Consider the following 19,552-nt stretch of genomic DNA (forward strand, 5'->3'; position numbering starts at 1 on the left):
TAAAAATACAAAAAATTAGCCAGGCATGGTGGCAGGTGCCTATAACCCCAGCTACTTGGGAGGCTGAAGCAGGAGAATCACTTGAACCCAGGAGGTGGAGGTTGCAGTGAGTTGAAACTGCATCACTGCACTCCAGCCTGGGCAACAGAGCAATATTCCATCTCAAAAAAAAAAAAAAAAAAAAATAGAAAGCTCAAATGAACAGTCTTAATGTAAAAGATGATGTTGTGTTGACATTTATTGCCTATGTTGTGTTTAATACTAAAATATGTATTTGAATGTTTTGTTTTACTTATTGATGAGGTTCTTTTAATTTTGAACATAATGGACCTTCATTTGGGTCAGTGTCATCTTTATTTTTTGAAACAGCGAACACACTTTTAACCACTGATTTATTATTTTAATAGTGTACCCTCAAATCCTGAAAAATTTAAAAATGCAGTTTATAAAAGAATTATTCTTTGCACAATTACTGGCAAACTTATTGTTAATAAACTACTGTAAGGTGATGCATTAAAAAATCTGGATCAGTATGTTACAGCCACCGTGTTGTGACTTTGGTACTAATTTCTCTGGTACAAGTCCTTTTGAGTTCCAAATGCCTGTGAACCAATTCCCCAATGCCTGTTCTTTCTACTCCCACAATATCTTTGTTCACACAGTGCACCATGATATTATTCGGTCTTCATTAAGCACCAGTGCAATTGTGTAAACACAAACACCAATGCAAGCCCCCAAAACATGTTCCGTGGTGAGGTGGCCATTCAGATGTTGTAGACTCAGCACTGCTGTCCAATAGAACTTTCTGTGATGATAGAAATATGCTATTCCTGCGCTTTTGCTTTTCAGTGAGATAGCCATTAGGCATAGGGAGCTTTTGAGCCCTTGAAATGTGGCAAAGGTGACTGAGGTTCTGAATGTTTGTGTACATAATTTTTTTGTGGTTGCTGTTTATAGGAGACAGGGTCTCACTGTGTCGGCCAGGCTGGCCTTGAACTCCTGAGCTCAAGCAATCCTCCTGCTTCGGCCTCCCATAGTGCTAGGATTACAGGCGTGAGCCATCGTGTCCCACCCGTACATAATTTTAACTAATTTAAATAACCACATTTAACAAGTGTCTACCATATCGGACAGCACAGATCTAGAGCAGTGTTTTTCAGACTCTAATGTGCATGTGAATCTTCTGAGGATCTTGTTAAAATGCAGACTGGAATTCAGTACATCTGGTCTGAATCTGTGATTCTGCATTTTTTTTTTTTTAAGACAGAGTTTTGCTCTTGTTACCCAGGCTGGAGTGCAATGATGGGATCTTGGCTCACGGCAAACTCCACCTCCCGGGTTCAAGTGATTCTCCTGCCTCAGCCTCGCGAGTAGCTGGGATTACAGGCATGTGCCACCATACCTGGCTAATTTTGTATTTTTAGTGGAGACAGGGTTTCTCCATGTTGGTCAGGCTGGTCGCGAACTCCTGACCTCAGGTGATTCGCCCACCTTGGCCTCCCAAAGTCCTGGAATTACATGCGTGAGCCACCATGCCCGGCCCGATTCTGCATTTTTAATTAGCCCCAAGATGCTCCTGGTCTGGGGACCACATATTGAGAAGCATGTCTCTAGACTAGATATACTTATGTCCATTTGTTTTAGATTATTACCTGAAAGGAAATACTGAAAGTAAAAATTCTCACAGAACTCTAGGATTTTCAGGGGGCCTCATACCCCAATTTAGGGATCCCGTCCTGGTGTGCTACTGCTACAGCATACATAGTAGCAGGCAAGCATATAGCCAGGAAGGTTCAGTGAGCTTGCCAAGGGCTCACCCTGGGATGCATGACAAGTTGAGTTTTTCATTATGCTTTTCATATAGTATTAAAAAGAATCTTATGGTAAAATAAAGACACTTATTTCATCTTTCCCACTCTTTTTTTAAAAAAACAAATTAATTTTTCCTTCTTGTAGGTTTTGCGTGTGAAGCTGTGTGGAAATGTGAAATACTACCAGTCACACCATTATAGTACCGTGGTGCCACCTGATGGTAAGCTTTCTTACCATTTATTTGATTCATATGTTAATTGTTTCCCTTTCTTCCAAATAAAGAGCTGCGAGAGTTTTGAGCAGAATAGACTTTTCTTACACTATCCCCATCCCACCCCACCCTGATTGGGTTCACTTCCACCTTTTTGTGCTCCCATAATATAGCTGCTGTCTTTTGTCAAATTCCCACCTCAGAATCAGAGGAGTCAGAGATGATAAGCAATAGTCGGGTGGGTGTGGTGGCCTGTAATCCCAGCACTTTGGGAAGCCACGGCAGGCGGATCACTTCAGCTCAGGAGTTTGGGACCAACCTGGCCAACAAAGCAAAACCCCATCTCTACAAAAAATACAAAAATTAGCCAGGTGTGATGGCACATGCCTGTAGTCCCAGCTACCCAAGAGATTGAGGTGGGAAGATTGCTTGAGCCCAGGAGGTAGAGGCTGCAGTGAGCCATGATCGTGCCACTCCAGTTTGGGCAACAGAGTGAGACCCTGTCTCAAAAAGAAAGAAAAAAAAACAAATAGTTTCTGTCCTCAAGAAAACTAGAACTTAAGTGTTTACCTGAGAAGACTTTTTTTCTTTTTCATTTAATCAGGGTCTAGCTGTGTCACTCAGGCTGGAGTGCAGTGGCACGATCTCGGCTCACTGCAACTTCTGCTTCCCAGGCTGAAGCCATCGTCCCAGCTCAGCCTCTTAAGTAGCTGCAACTACAGGCGCACACCACCATGCCAGACTTAATTTTCGTATATTTTGTAGAGATGGGGTTTCGCCATGTTGCCCAGAGAGCTCTCAAACTTCTGCGCTCAGGCAGTCCACCAATCTGAGCCTCCCAAAGTGCTGGGATTACAGGCATGAGCCACCATGCCGGCCACCTGGGAAGACTTTAAGCAGATAATAAAGTGTGGTATGTGCTACACTAAAATGTTATAGAATGGTAGGGAATATGTAAACTGTAGTATAATGAAGGCATTATTGGAGCAATACAAATTTTTATAAGACTTCAGAGGTTTGTGAATTTCATGTTTGAGCATTCCTTCTAGAATTCTTGTATTTATGGTTTTTTTTAAAGTAAAATTTACTCATTTTTTTTTCTTTTTTTCCTTAACAGAAATAACAGTTATTTATAGACATGGCCTTCCCTTGGTAACACTTACCTTGCCATCTAGAAAAGAACGTTGTCAATTCGTAGTCAAACCAATGTTGTCAACAGTTGGTTCATTCCTTCAGGACCTACAAAATGAAGATAAGGGTATCAAAACTGCAGCCATCTTCACAGCAGGTATATATGTATATAATTTTACAACTTTGTCCCAGGGTTTCTGTCTCTCCTGAACTTTTGTTTGGTTCTTTACTTTTCTAGAAGTACATTGTTTAATTCATTAGATAATAAATGGTTGGTCTTTATTCTTTCATTTTTATGCATCAACACTATTTTAAAAACTGTTTTGGCCTGGCGTGGTGGCTCACACCTGTAATCCCAGCACTTTTGGGAGGCCGAGTCAGGCGGATCACCTGAGGTCAGGAGTTCGAGACCAGCCCGACCAACATGGAGAAACCCCGTCTCTACTAAAAACACAAAATTAGCCACCCGTGGTGGTACATACCTGTAATCCCAGCTACTTGGGAGGCTGAGGCAGGAGAATTGCTTGAACCCAGGAGGCAGAGGTTGCAGTGAGCCGAGATCACGCCATTGCACTCCAGTCTGGGCAACAGGAGTGAAACTCCATCCCAAGAAAAGAAAATTAAAAAAAAAAAAAATTTAACTTCATTGAATGAAAAATTAATGGAATAAATTTAATGTAAATTTCAGTTACTTATTTTATAAACTTAGCCTTAAAGGTTTTTCATGAGAAAATCTTAGTGGCACAGGCATTAGCGTGCAATTCTCAGCAAAATTTGAATAATTAGAAAACAAAATGCAGTTTTAATTATTAAAATAAGCCAGTGAATAATTAAAGTACACAAAAAATTTGTTCACCACTGTTATAAAGCAATTACAGTCTAGTATGTTTTTTGGCAGAATTAGTTCTTAGGAAGAATATACATTTTTTAAAAAACCAGAAGTATGTCATCACTTAGACATTTAAAATTTAGAATACAGCTTTCATGTTCTCATAGTCTGAAATGGTCTTAGACCAACTGCTTCTAAATAGAATAAAGAATTATTTACCCTATCCCACTACATAGCAGCTGCAAATATAGATAAATTAATAAATTTGCATTATTTCATTATGATATTAAATACTTAGAATAAAGTTATTTAGGTTCATGATTACTGTTGCAGTTTTGAAAGGGAAATAAACAGACTTTTTCCCTATCCAAGTTCCAAATTAATTAAAAGATAGAGAAGTTGGAAAATGGAGATTAATTGATTCATTCAACAAATATTTATTGAGCACCTAATGTATGTCAGGCACTGTTCTATACGCTAGAGGTAGTGCAGAGAACAAAAGGGATAAAAACTCCTGCCCTTATGGAGCTTATATTTAGGAGGAGAAAAAAACAAGATAAATTATGTATTATGTTAAATAATAAGTGTTACGAAGAAAAATAAAGCAGAGTGTGGAAGATGTGTGTGGGCAGGGGTGGGCTTGATAAGATTACATTTGCACAAAGACCTGGGGGAAATGAGGGAGGGAGTCACGTAGAGGGAAGAGAGCTCTGGGCCGCATGCGGTGGCTCACACCTGTAATCCCAGCACTTTGGGAGGCCGAGGTGGGTGGATCACCTGAGGTCAGGGGTTTGAAACCAGCCTGGCCAACATAGCAAAACCCCTTCTCTACTAATAATACAAAAATTAGCCAGGTGTAGTGTTGCATACCTGTAATCCCAGCTACTCAGGAGGCTGAAGCAGGAGAATCGCTTGAACATGGGAGGCGGAGGTTGCTGTGGTCCGAGATGGCACCACTGCACTCCAGCCTGAGTGATAGAGTGAGACTGCATTGAGGTGGGAGCCTACTACACAGTGACCGCAAAGGAGGGAGCTGGGAGAAAGGAGGAGTTCTGAGAGGTGGGGAAGGGCAGATCAGGAAAGGCTTATTGTAGGTTGTTGTTAGGACTATAGATTTAGCTGGAAGGGACGTTTCTTCCTGCTAAAACCTGGATCAGAGAATAAGGTTTTAGCCCTATGGCACAATGGGCTTCCTAATATTTCATCCTTGAACTAGACAGACATTTCCCCCAGGCACAGGAACACTGGAATGTCCATGGGCGTTTTCCACAGGGGCAGGGCCCTCTTTCTAAGCTTCTAGGGGCAGGCAGACCCAAACCTGGAAGTCAGAAGGGCCTGCACTGAGCAGCACTTGCCTGGTGGTGTGTACTCAATTAGTATTGAAGTGAATGAAATAAGAGAGGTTAAAATGATAGATGTTTATCCTGCTTATTTCTAAAAATAAAGTTAGTAGCTTTGAAACAGAAAGCACAAAGAAAGAGAATAGAAGTCTTAGAGAAAAGGGACTCTTTGGACTGAGTGCAAACACCCTATCGGGGGTTTAAATTGATACCCAAGAATACATGAAAAATTTAACACTGTATCACTAGTGCTTAAAAATGTTTCACGTCAGTCTTTTGCTATTCATACCTTTGTATAAAGGATAATATAGTATTTCAACTGAGAAATCATATTCAGTGTATGTCTTTTTTAGTAAGATTTTAAGGAGCTGGTTTGAAGTCATTTACATGTAAATTTTTAAATGACACTTGGAAAGATAAAGCGATTGGTGTGTTGCTGATTTTTTTTTTCTTCTTTTTAAAAGACTCTGTGGGTGGAATTTGCCTGCATTTAATTTGGGCTTGAAAAGAGTGTTCTAAGCTTGTCACAGTTTTGCCCATTGTGTGGGTTGAATTATTTGGCAATTTTTTGGAAAATGATCTCACTGCAACTGATGAACAGCAACCCAAACAGCCAAATTCTAGGAACAGACACAGGTGCAGACTTGATTTGCAGTCTTCCAGAACAAAAGAACTATAGGGAGGCAGACAAGAGGCAGCAGCCAGTTTCTTCGGGATGTTACTAGTGTTAGTCCTGTCATCACACATATTAATATAGCTAAAATAGCTCGGGTTGAATGTAACCAAATGAATGTCAGGCCGGGATTTGAAAATACACATCCAGCATTTTCCTGGACTTAATTTCATGTAATTATATGTGAACTATTCTGAAGGGAAAATGATAGAAAAAGAAACCTCTACCCAGCACCAATTTTTTGCTTATTGTTCAGTGAATTTGCTTTCTTAACACCTGGATTACATTAAAGTTTGGTTCAAAAATATAACAAAACCTAGGCTCTATGAGAGGCTGTGCAAAGCACATTGTGGTTAAAATTTTTCAAGACTTTTTTTTTCCTGAAATACTCCTAGGATATTTGAAATTACTGTTAGAATCTCTCCTGCCTCTCTCCCCTTCCACAAAATAAACCATACAATGCAAATTTATTTCTTAGGCATCACGTTCATTATTGTCCTCACCTCCTTGACAGTTTGCCTCTTCATTTTTTTCAAGCTTGAAAGGAAGATGAGCCCATGTGGTGATAGCTTGTGGTGCTATTTAGCTACTAAATTTTTAACCACCACAAATCAGTTACCTCTAATAATTAAAAATAAGAGAAAGGCAGGGTTTTTAAATAGTTATACCCTTATGCCTACATGTGCCAGTCAGAAGCTTGGCCATAAGCAGCAGAATGGACTCTGGCTAAGCAGAGGAGTATGTCAACAGGCTCTCATGCTGGAAGTGGCAGAAGACAGGCCCAGAAGAGGGCAGGAACTAAGAGAAGACAGGAGCTGAGACCAGGTTAACCCAGTAACCACCTGATGAGCTCTGCTGCCTACACTCCACCCTACCCCCAAAACTGTCACCTGCCACTGCTCTGGCCTTGCTGTGAAGGGTTTCCACCTCCCCTGAACCTTTGCATGACTCTCCACAGATGCAGTTTCACCAAGGGCACTACCTGGATTCCAGCACAGCTGACAGGGTGGGAGAGGGAGTGCCTGCCTGTTCCATTTCGTCCAAGGAAATGGGAGGTAGAGCAATAGAGGAGGATTCCCCTCAATGGGAATAGTGTTTGGGTTTGGGGACACCCCCCACAAAAGTAAATTGTCCACTATTATATTGTAAAGACCTGGGTTAGTAATTTTCTATGTGTTGGAAAATGGTTCTTACTGTTCTAAAACAAAGACATGCTCATGCATGATGTTTTTCTTTCAGATGGCAACATGATTTCAGCTTCTACCTTGATGGATATTTTGCTAATGAATGATTTTAAACTTGTCATTAATAAAATAGCATATGATGTGCAGTGTCCAAAGAGAGGTAAGAAACACAGCTATCCAACTATTACTTTTTTTTTTTTTTTTTAGATGAATTCTCACTTGCTCTGTTTCCCAGGCTGGAGTACAGTGACGTCGTCATAGCTCACTGTAATCTCAAACTCCTGGGCTCAAACAATCCTCCCACCTCAGCCTCCAGAGTAGCTGGGACTACCTGCATGCACCACCATGCCTGGCTAATTTTTTAACATTTTTTTAGGGATTGGGTCTCCCTATGTTGTCCAGGCTGGTATCTTCACTTTTACCTTTAGCTGTGAGGTTTCCAGAGGGAGCAAAGTTTATGTTAAGAATCTTAAATTTATCAGATGACCAAGAAGTCTTTGGAAAACCAGTGTTTAAGCTTTTCCAGCAGGGGTATAAGTGATCACCTACAGTTGCCTAGCAGGACTTTTAGTCCCGTATACTCTTTTTAGACTTTCAGGATTTTACTTTAGGATCTTGAATGCTTAACCGACATTATTGGGTTAAGAGAGAGGTAGGCCTGAAAATCAAGAATTCAAGTATACATGATTGTATAGCTCTTAACTCTTGTAAAAAAAAAAAATTGTATTATTTAAAGCAGTTTTAGGTTCAAAGCAAAATCGAGCAGAATGTAGAGAGAGTTCCCATATGCTCTCTGCACCCCACGCCCCTTATTGTCAATATCCCACACCAGACTGGTATATTTATTAAAATTGGTGAACACACTGACACATCATTGTCACCCAAAGTCCATAGTTTACATTAGGGTTTACTCTTGGTGTTGTATATTCTATAGATTGTGACAAATGTAGAACTACATGTATTCATCATTAATGTACATAATGTAAATAATCATCTTGTTTTTATTAATCTTTCTTAAATGTATATGTAGCTTACATTTATTTTAATATTTAACATTAAAAGTGTCTTGGGTCTTTATTTAGATGTTTAATGATGTTTTTATGACCAGAAATATGCTGTAAGAACCTAACTCTTGCTTATATCAATTAGCCTATGGTAAAATTGGTTTCCTTATAGTTGTTTCATTTAAAGTTGCAGTTTTCAAGAACCTGTCTATGACATTAAGAATTATACAGAATAGGGCCAGGCAAACTCTACCAAACTCTACCAAAATTCAAGGATGCTCAAGGCCCTGATACAAAATGTTTGTTATATTTGCATTTAACCTCCATACTCCCTTCATATACTTTAAATCTCTAGATTACTTACAATACCTAAGACAGTGTAAATGCTGTGTAAATGGTTGTTATACTATATTGTTTTTTCATTCATTTTGTTGTTGTTGTATTGTTAATTTTTATTAGATTTTTTTCCCAAATATTTTCAATCCATGGTTGGTTGAGTTCACAGATGCAGAACCCACAAATAAGAAGGGCTGATTGTATAGCCTTTTCAGATTCGCTTCTTTCTTTCTTTTTGGCAGGGGTGGGGGCGCATGGTAGTAGGGCCAGGGACATGAGAGAGCAAGGGAAGAGAAAATAGGATATTTAAGAAAGGGGGTACAACAGGGAAAATACTAAACAGTGAGAGAGAGGAGTGAAAAAAGGGGGAGAGTGGGAGGAAAAAAAGAAAGGCAAGAGGGGAAAGAAGAAGGGGGAAAGGAAGAGAGAGCAAAGAGAAGAAAAGGGAGTGATAAGGGAGGAGACGAGGCAGTAAAGAAGAAAGTGAAGAGGAAGGCCAGCTTGGCTTATTTCACTTAGTAATATGCATTTAAGTTTCTTTCATGTGTTTCAGAGCTTGTTAGCTCATTTCCTTTTAGTGCTGAATAATTGTTCATTATCTGTATGTACCACAGTTTATTCACCTACTGAAGGACATCTGGGATACTTCCAAGTTTTGGCAATTATGAATGGAGTTGCTATAAATACACATGCGCAGGCTTTTGTTTGCACGTAGATTTTCAAATCATTTGGTTAAATACCCAGGAACATGATTGCTGGCACATATGGTGAGAGTGTTTAGTTTTGTGTAAAACTGTCAAGCTGTCTTCCAAAGTGGCTGTACCATTTTGTGTTCCTACCAGCAGTGAATGAGAATTCCTGTTGCCCCATATCCTTGCCAGCAATTGGTGGTATTAGTGATTTGGATGTGATTTTCACCATTGTAGTAGGTGTGTAGTCATTGTTTTAATTTGTAGTTTCTTAATGATGTATGATGATGAGCATCTCTTCATACGCCTATTTGCCATCTATGTCTTCTTTGTTGAGGTGTCTTTTCAGATCTTTGCCCATTTTGTGATCAGGTTGTTCATTTTCTTTTGAGTTCTTTGTATGTTTGGGATAACGGTCTTGTATCAGATACGTCTTTTGCAAATATTTTCTCCCAGGCTATGGCTTGCTTTCTCATTGTCTTTCACAAGTTGAGGAAATTGCCCTCTGTTCCTGGTTTGCTGAGAGTCTTCATTGTGAATTGGTGTTCAATTTTGTCAAATCTTTTTCTGCATCTATTGATATTATCATGTGATTTTTCTTCCTTAGTCTGTTGATATGATGGATTACATGAATTCATATTCAAGTGTTGAGCCTTGCATACCTGGATAAATCCCACTTAGTTGTGGTGTAGCAATCTTTTTAGACATTGTTGTATTTTATTTGCTATTATTTTGCTGAGGATTTTTGTGTCTATATTCACGAGAGATATTGGTCTGTGGTTTTGTTTTCTTACAGTGTTTTTGTCTGGTTTTAGTATTAAGGTAATGCTGGCCTCATAGAATGAGTTAGGAAGTATTCCCTCTGCTTCTGTCTTCTGAAAGAGATTGTAGATAATTAATATAGTTTCTTCCTTTGATGTTTGGTAGAATTCACCAAGAAAATCCATCTGGACCTGGTGCTTTCTGTTTTGGAAATTTATTATTGATTCAGTTGCTTAATAGGTATAGGCTTATGTAGATTGTGTATTTCTTTTTGTGTGAGTTTTGATAGATTGTACCTTTTAGAGAATTAATCTATTTTGTCTAGGTTATTGAATTTGTGGGCATAGAGTTGTTCATAGTATTTCTTTATTTTCCTTTTAATGTCCATGGGATCTGTAGTTAAATCCTCTCATTTCATTTCTACCATGAGTAACTTGTTGTCTCTTTTTTTCTTGATTAACCTGGCTAGAAGTTTATCAATTTAATTGATTTTTTCCAAAGAACTAGCTTTTAACATCATTGATTTTTCTCTGTGGGTTTCCTGTTCTCAATTTCATTGGTTTCTACTCTATGTTTATAATATAGAATAGAATATATATTATGTAGAGTATATTATATACTCTACATAATAAATATTCTACTATATTTATTATCTCTTTTCTTCTGCTTGCTTTTCATTTCATTTGCTCCTCTTTCTCTAGTTTCTTAAAGTATAAGTTCAGATCTTATAGATGTTTATTCTTTCCTGTTATATGTATTCAATCCTATAGATTCCCCTCTGAGCATTGCTTTCACTGCCTTCCATAAATTTTGATAAGTTGTATTTTCATTTATTTTAAAATATTTTAATTTTTTTCTTGTGATTTCTTCTTTGACCCATGTGTTAGAAGTACATTATTTAATATCTAAGTATTTTGGGATTTTCCAGCTATCTTTGGGTTATTGATTTTTAGTTTAATTCCACTGAGATCCGAAAGCATACATTGTATTTTTCTTTTTTTACATTTACTCATGTGAGTTTTATAGCCTTCATTGTGATCTGTCTTGATGAGATGTTCCCTGTGAACTTGAGAATGTGTATTGTGCTGTTGTTGGATAGTCTATAGATGTCACGTTTATCTCAGTTGATTGGTGGTGCTATTGAGTTCAACTGTATACCCCGTGATTTTCTGCTTGGCAGATCTGTCCATTTCTAATAGAGGAATGTTGAAGTCTGTAACTGTAAACATGAATTCATCTATTTCTTCTTGTAGTTCTATTAGTTTTTGTTTTGCCTCATGTAGTTTGATGCTGTGTTAGGAGCATACACATTAAGCATTGTTCTGTCTTCTTGGAGAATTGGCCTTTTATTATTATGTAATGTCTCTCTTTACTCCTGGTAGCTTTCCTTGCTCTAATGTCTGTTTTGTCTGAAATTAATATAGCTATTTCAGCTTTCTTTTTATTAGTGTTAGCATAGTATATCTTTCTTCATCCCTTTGCTTTTCATCTATATATGTCTTCATATTTAAAGTGGGTTTCTTATAGACAATATATAGTTGGATCTGGGTTTTTGACCCACTCTGACAAGCTCTATCTTTTGATTGGTTCATTTAGGCCATTGACATTCAAATTGATTACTGATATACATAATATCTACCATATTTGCTACTGTTTTCTATTTGTTGCCACTGTTTTTTTTTTTCCTGTTTTTGTCTTCCACATTTTTTCTGCCTTTTTTGGTTTTTAATTGAGCATTCTGTATATTTCATTTTCTCTCCTTTTCCAGCATATTATTTATACTTCTTTTTTTAGCGGTTGCCTAAGAGTTTGCAATATACATTTACAACTATTGCAAGTCCACTTTCAAATAACATTATATTGCTTCACGGCTAGTGCAAATACCTTATAATAACAAAATAATCCTGATTTCTCCCTCATGCCCCTTGTCTCACGGCTGTCATTCATTTCAGTGATTCATAAGCATAGGTATACTAAGCATACATAGTCAAAACCAGTGTTAGCATTATTCTTTTGAACCGACTGTTATCTAGTAGATCAATTAAGAATAATAAAAATAAAGGTTTTTATTTTACCTCCACTATTCCTTCTCTGATTCTCTTTCTTTCTGTAGAGCTAAATTTCCAACCTATATCATCTTGCTTTTCTCTGAAGAACTTCTTTTAATATTTCTTGCAAGGCAGGCCTGCTAGCAACAAATTCACTCAATTTTTGTTTGAAAATATCTTTGTTTCTCCTTTACTTTTGAAGAATAATTTCACAGGGTACCAAATTTTAGGCTGCTTTGTTTTTTTCTCGGAATGCTAAATATTTTATCCCACTTCTTGCTTGTATGATTTCAGAGAAGTCAGGTTTAATTTCTTTTTTTTTCTCTGCTATAGCTAAGGGTTCCCCCCTTCCCTGGCTTCTTTAAGAATTATTTTCTTTATCTTTGATTTTCTGCAGTTTGAAAATGATATACGTATGTGTAGTTTTCTCTTGGCATTTGTTCTGCTTGTGTTCTCTGAGCTTCCTGGATCTGTGGTTTGCTATCTGACATTAGTTTGGGGGGAGTTCTCAGTCCTTAATCAAATAATTCTTCTGTTCTTTCCTTTCTTCTCCTTCTAGTATTCTCATTACATACATGTTATTCATTTTGTGGCTGTCCTAAAGTTCTTAGATGTTCTGTTCTGGTTTTTTTTTTTTCAGTCTTTTTTCTCTTTGCTTACCAGTTTTGAAAGTTTCTAATGAAATATCCTTAAGCTTAGAGATTCTTTCTTCAGCTATGTTTCATCTACTAACAAGCCCATTAAAGGCCTTCTTCCTTTCCATTACAATGCTTTATCTCTAGCATTTTATTTAGATTCTTTCTTAGAATTTCCATCTGTCTTCTTACATTACCCATCTGTTCTTGCATGTTATCTACTTTTTCTAGTAGATTCCTTAGCATATTATTTGTAGTTATTTCAAGTTGCTAGTCCGATAATTCCAATGTTCCTGCCATGTCTGGCTCTCGTTCTGATGCTTATTCTGTCTGTTCAAACTGTGTTTTTTGCCTTTTAGTAAGTCTTGTAATTTTATGTTAAAAGCTGGATGTGATATACTGGATAAAGGGAACTGCAGTAAATAAGCCTTTTATAATATAGTGATAAAGTAAGGTATGGAGGGGAAGTGTTCTGTAGTCCTATGATTAAGGGGACTAGGTCTCAGTCTTTTAGTGAGCCTGTACCCCTGGACTTAGAACTTCACAAGTGCTTCTCAGCCCTTCCCCCACCCCCCACCACCTTAGGTGGGATAGGATGGTTACAGGTTGCTGAAGTTGGGTTTTTCTTTTCCCCTAGGTTAACTAAGCTCTAATGAAATCCCAATCGGTTAGGCTCTGGGAAAATAATTTACCTTGTGGACAGTCCTTGTTAAGAGTAACAGAATTTGGCCAGGCGCAGTGGTTCATGCCTTTAATCCCAGCACTTTGAGAGGCTGAGGGAGTGGGGATCACTGGGTCAGGAGTTTGAGATCAGCCTGCCAACATGGTGAAACCCTGTCTCTACTAAAAATACAAAAATTAGCTGGGCATGGGGGCAGGTGCCTGTAATCACAGGTACTCGGGAGGCTGAGGCAGGAGAATCGCTTGAACCCGGAAGGCGGAAGCTGCAGTGAGCCAAGATCATGTCATTGCACTCCAGCCTGGGCAACAGAGCGAGGAGACTCTGTCTCCAAAAAAAAAAAAGAAAAAGAAAAAGAACAGAATTCTCTGGCATATTTCAAAATCACTACTTTTCCTTTCCTGCTGCCGTAAGGAGGAGGAGATTTTTCTTCAGTTTTCACTGTATCTAGTAGAGCTCCTAGAAGTGAAACTCACAAAAGTGTGGGAATGCGCCCACCTATGGGACTCCCTGGAATGCTTACATTTCAAGAGTTGTCCACGCTGAGCCTCCAGCAATTTGTCAGTTACAGTTCAGGTTTTCCTACCCTGGTACTGATTCTTTGCAGATTTCTGCTCATGAGTCTCTGCTTCGCTAAGTTGTCATTGTCTGTATTTATCTATCTTTTCAATTTTGGCGACAGCAATTTTCCCTCTAACCTTAGTTTTCTTATGCATCTAAGAAAAGTTGTTGATTTTCATTGTATTCAGCCATTTATTAATTGTTAGGATGGACTGACAACTTTGGAGTTTTTTTATGTCAGACAGGAAACTGGAAGTCTTAACTTTTTCTTAAAGAGAGCTTTTTTCATCTCAAATTACCATTTTGGCCATTAGCAATATTCTTTTGGACAGTTCTCAGCCATTATTAGTTCAAATAGTGCTGCTTTTCCCTTCTCTCTTTTTTCTTCTTCTAGTAGTCCCATTATGCCTAAGTTACACTTGTGCAATTGTCCCACAGTTCTTAGATATTTTGTTAGGTTTTTTTTCCATTCTTTTTTCTCTTTGACCTTCAGTTTGAGAAAGTTTCTGTTGGCATACCCCCAAGCTGACTGATTCTTTCCTCCCCAGTGTGTAGTCTACTGATGAGCCCATCAAAGGCATTCTTCATTTCTGTTACAGTGGTTTTTATTTCTAGCAATTCCTTTTGGTTCTTTCTAAGTTTCTATCTCTCCATTTACATTACTCATCTGTTCTTGCATATTGTGCACTTTTTCCATTAGAGCCTTTAATCATAGTTGCTTTACTATCCTACTCTGATACTTCCAAAATCTCTGCCATATCAGAGCCTGGTTCTGATGCTTGTTTTGTCTCTTCAAACTGTGGTTGTTGTTGTTTTTTTCTTTGCCTTTTAGCTTGTCTTTAAATTTTTTGCTGAAAGCTAGACATGATGTATCAGGCAATAGAAACTGAGCTGAATAGGTCTTTAGTGTGAGGTTTTATGTGGCTAGGAGTTAGATGTTTAATGTTTGCTGTAGCTGTAGGTATCAGAGGCTTTCCTCTAGTGTCCTTATTTTTGTTTCTCCTGATGTTTTGGGGTTTCCCTATAAATTCTTTCTCAAATAGAATCTGTGCCTTGTATAAAACTGGAGCCCTGTTAATGTAGTGGTAAGATATTGAGGAGAGGAATCATTCTATAATCTTATTATTAAATATATATATATTTTTAATTGGGCCTGTGTCTCTAAAATGTAATATTTACAAGAGTTTCTTAGCCTCTTTTATTCTCCTGTGTGAGGCAGTAAGGCTAGAGGGGTCTGTAGTTGACTAATTGCCCTTTCTCCAAGCCAGATAAGGCTCTGGTAAAGTAGTTTCCTATTATGGAGGACATGTGCTCAGGGCTATTTCAGAATGGTTATTTTTCCTTCCCTCCTGCCCAAAGCAGGGAGAGTATTTTTCTCTGATCTCTGATCTTCACTGTGAGAACCTGGTAAGGTTCCAGGAGATAAAACTCATGAAAGTGTGGGAGTTTTTCCTTCAATGCTAGTTTACACTGAGTGTCCAGCAATTCACCAATTACAGTTTAAGAATTCTGGCTAGTATTGGCTCCTGAGGCTTCTTCTCCCAGTAAGCTATAATTATAGACTGTTAAGGGTAGGAGGAAGAAATTCATAAGTCTATGCCTTAATAAATTGGTGATAAAAGAAATAGATCAACAAATAATAGAAGGCTCTTACTTACAGTGAGGTGCTGAGCATCTACTGGTAAATGTGGGAGAGTTTCTGGAGGTGGAAAATCATCACTTTGCAGCCAAATTCTAGATCAGGCAAGAGCCATCAACAGGGAGGGAATTTAGATAAGAAATTTCTGTTAAAAAAAGTCCTCCAGCTTGAAGCAGCTCCAGCTAACCATTATCTGGTACAGTTTGAACACCAGTGACTCCTGTGTCTTTGTGACTTGCTCCCTCTCCCCCTTTTTTTGTAAGTACTTTTACTTTTTGATATAGAAAGATGATCCAGGTTGACCTTGTACCTATCATGTCCCATCACTTTTATCAGCCATTTCTCTGAGGACCCCTCAAACAAAAATAATTTTTTAAAATTTTAATTGTATATTTGAACATTATGCGGGATTTTCAAATACAAACAAGAAAAAAGAAATTAAAATGAATCACTCATTTCAACACTTACAAACTTGCTTCCATTCTGAATTCTCTTTTAACATCAGGGCAGTATTTAACTTCAAAGAGAGAAGGGTGACAGAAATTGGAAAATATGGAAGAGGAAATCCCTGTTAAGATATTATACAACTTTCATGTCCAGTGAGTTCCTAACACCCTGGAAGGTCTTTCACTTGCTGTTCTTTGGGTTGCATTTATGAACAAACAAGTGGAAATAGATGTTTACAGGCCATCCCATTACTCCATATGACCTTCCCATCCCTCAAACCACCACATGGACCATAAGCCTTAGGTCTAAGTGGGATAAAGCACAACCTCCGCACTCCTGCCCACTCATTAGAAAACCCCTCTTGCTGCTGGAAGGGCTGTGTGTTGGGATTGAACTCCTAGGGCAGAAGCCTCCCTGGAGATGGGAGGTCAGTGAGCCCAGGTTTCCCTGTAACCTCAGCTTATGAAAACTGTATCAGACTTGCCAAGTCTCACAGTGTAAAGTAAACAGGGACACAGCAGGTATAGTTAGAAGGAAAACAATGGCAGAGGAATCATACTGGATTAACTGAAAATGAAATTTATAAAATTACAAATTTGGAGTTTTCAAAAAAGTTATTTAAACTCCATTTAACTAAAATATTCCTAATACATTGCAAATGTGGATTTGAAAATTTGGGGTATGAAAATTAAGTTCACAAGGAAGACACATAAATGAGAAATAAGCTTCTGAAGAAAAGGAAAAGATCAGAAGCCGGTTGGCGGGTGAGAGGTTTTTTCGCTCTAGGGAGATTCTTCAAGCAATCACTATGTCAGCAGACACAGGTGTTTCTCTTCCTTCATATGAGGAATATCAGGGATCCAAACTTATTCGAAAAGCTAAAGAGGCACCATTCGTACCCATTGGAATAGCAGGTTTTGCAGCAGTTGTTGCATATGGATTACACAAACTGAAGAGCAGGGGAAATACTAAAATGTCCATTCATCTGATCCACATGCGTGTGGTAGCCCAAGGCTTTGTTGTAGGAGCAATGACTGTTGGTATGGGCTATTCCATGTATCGGGAATTCTGGGCAAAACCTAAGCCTTAGAAGAAGAGATGCTGCCTTGTTGGAGGAGCTTGCTTTAGTTAGACGTCTCATTATTGAAGTTACCTATTATTGTTGGAAATAAACTAATTTGTATGGGTTTAGATGGTAACATGGCATTTTGAATACTGGCTTCCTTTCTTGCAGGCTTGATTTGCCTGGTGACTGAATTACTAGTGACTAGTTTACTAACTCCGTCATTCAAGGAAGTCAAGTTAACTTAAACATGTCACCTAAATGCACTTGATGGTGTTGAAATGTCCACCTTCTTAAATTTTTAAGATGAACTTAGTTCTAAAGAAGATAACAGGCCAATCCTGAAGGTACTCCCAGTTTGCTGCAGAATCTCACATATTTTGGATGTTGTATAAGAGTCCTATTTGCCCCAGTTAATTCAACTTTTGTCTGCGTGTTTTGTGGACTGGCTGACTCTGTTAGAACTCTGTCCAAAAAGTGCATGGAATATAATTTGTAAAGCTTCCCACAATTGACAATATATGTGCATGTGTTTAAACCAAATCCAGAAAGCTTAAACAATAGAGCTGCATAATATTAGTATTTATTAAAGAATCACAATTGTAAACATGAGAATAACTTAAGGATTCTAGTTTAGTTTTTTGTAATTGCAAATTATATTTTTGCTGCTGATATATTAGAATAATTTTTAAATGTCATCTTGAAATAGAAATATGTATTTTAAGCACTCATGCAAAGGTAAATGAACACTTTTTAAATGTGTGTGTTGCTTATTTTTTACATAAGAATTGTAAACATTGAACTGAACAAATTACCTATAACGGATTTGATTAATGACTTACGAGCAAGCTGGTTTGGCCAGACAGTATACCCAAACTTTTATATAATATACAGAAGGCTATCACACTTGTGAAATTCTCTTGTCTCATCTGAATTTAATTCCATAGTGATAACATGGTATATGTATTGTTATTAAAGTAAGTGACCCATGTCAAAAAGAAAAAAAAGAAAAGGAAAAGAATAATTCTCTCTCATTTTTGGCCTTTATTAGGAAATGCCACAGACAAATGTTATGAGTCAGTTTAGGTTGGTGGTGTAACATGAATTCTGTGGTGCCCATGCTTCTGAAAGAGCAGAGCCAAGGGCATTCATTGTTGAACTCAGATAAACATTTCGTGCCACTTGACAAAGACTCTCACCTTGACTAAACTTCAGTCAGGTTCCTCGGAACCCTCTTCTCAACTAGGCGTTAACCATGGCCTATAAAAACTGTAAACTCTCAGCACAGATTTTGTCAACACTGCCCCCCTCACACCACACACACTAAGAGAGTTGAACCAACATTTGCATAGTTTCTCATAGCTCAAGGCCACATCATTTGGATGACAACTCTGGTTCTTTTAGAATGTCTGTCTGAGAAAGCTCAGTACCCTCTGGAAAATTTACTGTTTATTCCAGCCAAAACCTGGTGATAGGTCAATAAGCCATACAACCTCATCTTTAGAGCAGTGCTGTACTTTGAGTATGTTTCCCAAAGTTGATGTGTTGGAAACTTGATCCCCAGTGTTGTGGTGTTGGGATGTGAGGCGTATTGGGAGGTGTTTGGCTCATGGGGGCACTGCCCTAATGAATAGATGAATGCCATTTTCACTGGAGAGGTTATCTTGGCAGTAGGTTCCTTATAAAAGGATGAGTTTGGCCCCTTCTTGTGCTGTTGTGCATAAACACTTGCTTTCTCTCTGCCTCCCTTTTGCCATGGGATGATGCAGCAAGAAGGGTCTCACCAAATATGCCAACACCTTGGTCTTGGACTTCCCAGACTCCAGAACTGTGAGGAAATAAAATGTTGTTCTTCCTAAGTTGCCCAGTCTGTGATATTCTGCTATTGCAGCAGAAAACAGATTAAGACAGAAAATTGGTACCAGAAGTGGGGCTATAAGAAACATCTGAAAAGGTGGAAGTGGCTTTGGAATTTGGTAATGGGCAAAGGCTGGAAGAGTTTGGAAGAGCAGACTAGAAAAAGCCTATATTGCCATGAACAGAGTGTTAAGGACAATTCTGGTCAGGGCTCGGAAGAGAATAGCTGTAGGAAGTCTAAAAGTTTTTAGAGATTTACTTAAGTGGTCATGATCAGAATGTTTGTAGAAATATCGATGGTAGGCTGGGTGTGGTGACTCGCACCTATAATCCCGGCACTTTAGGAGGCTGAGGCGGGTGGATCACTTGAGGTCAGGAGTTTGAGACCAGTGTGGCCAACATAGTGAAACCTTGTCTCTACTAAAAATCCAAAAATATGTATATGGTAAAGGCCAATCTGATAAGCTCTTTGAAATGAGGAATATCTTACTGGAAGCTGGAATAAACACCATTATTGTTATGGACTTGCAAAGAACTTCTGAGCCCTCACCAGAATTGCCCTTAATACTCTGTTCATGACAATACAGGCTTTTTCTAGTCTGCTCTTCCAAACTCTTCCAGCCTTTGCCCATTACCAAATTCCAAAGCCACT

At 38.3% G+C, this 19,552-nt stretch overlaps 2 protein-coding genes and 1 pseudogene across 3 annotated transcripts in view; 2 read left to right on the top strand and 1 right to left on the bottom strand.

Moving 5' to 3' along the window:
* The window catches only part of MCUB (mitochondrial calcium uniporter dominant negative subunit beta), a 128,474-nt gene that overhangs the window by 96,809 nt on the left and 12,113 nt on the right, over positions 1 to 19,552 (top strand). For both annotated transcript variants that reach the window (XM_006714246.4, NM_017918.5), the window contains exons 2-4: positions 1,957 to 2,032; positions 3,141 to 3,311; positions 7,236 to 7,340. In XM_006714246.4, the coding sequence (XP_006714309.1) occupies positions 1,957 to 2,032; positions 3,141 to 3,311; positions 7,236 to 7,340 (352 nt within the window). The remainder of the gene's footprint in view (positions 1 to 1,956; positions 2,033 to 3,140; positions 3,312 to 7,235; positions 7,341 to 19,552) is intronic.
* CASP6 (caspase 6) overlaps positions 7,334 to 19,552 on the bottom strand; it is a 45,380-nt gene continuing 33,161 nt past the window's right edge. The window contains exon 6 of the mRNA XM_047416245.1: positions 7,334 to 15,628. Coding sequence (XP_047272201.1) covers positions 15,611 to 15,628 — 18 coding nt within the window. The 3' untranslated portion in view covers positions 7,334 to 15,610. The remainder of the gene's footprint in view (positions 15,629 to 19,552) is intronic.
* On the top strand, positions 16,725 to 17,267 carry HIGD1AP14 (HIG1 hypoxia inducible domain family member 1A pseudogene 14; annotated as a pseudogene).

The sequence above is a fragment of the Homo sapiens genome, chromosome 4, assembly GCF_000001405.40.
Source record: "Homo sapiens chromosome 4, GRCh38.p14 Primary Assembly".
Lineage (NCBI taxonomy): Eukaryota > Metazoa > Chordata > Mammalia > Primates > Hominidae > Homo > Homo sapiens.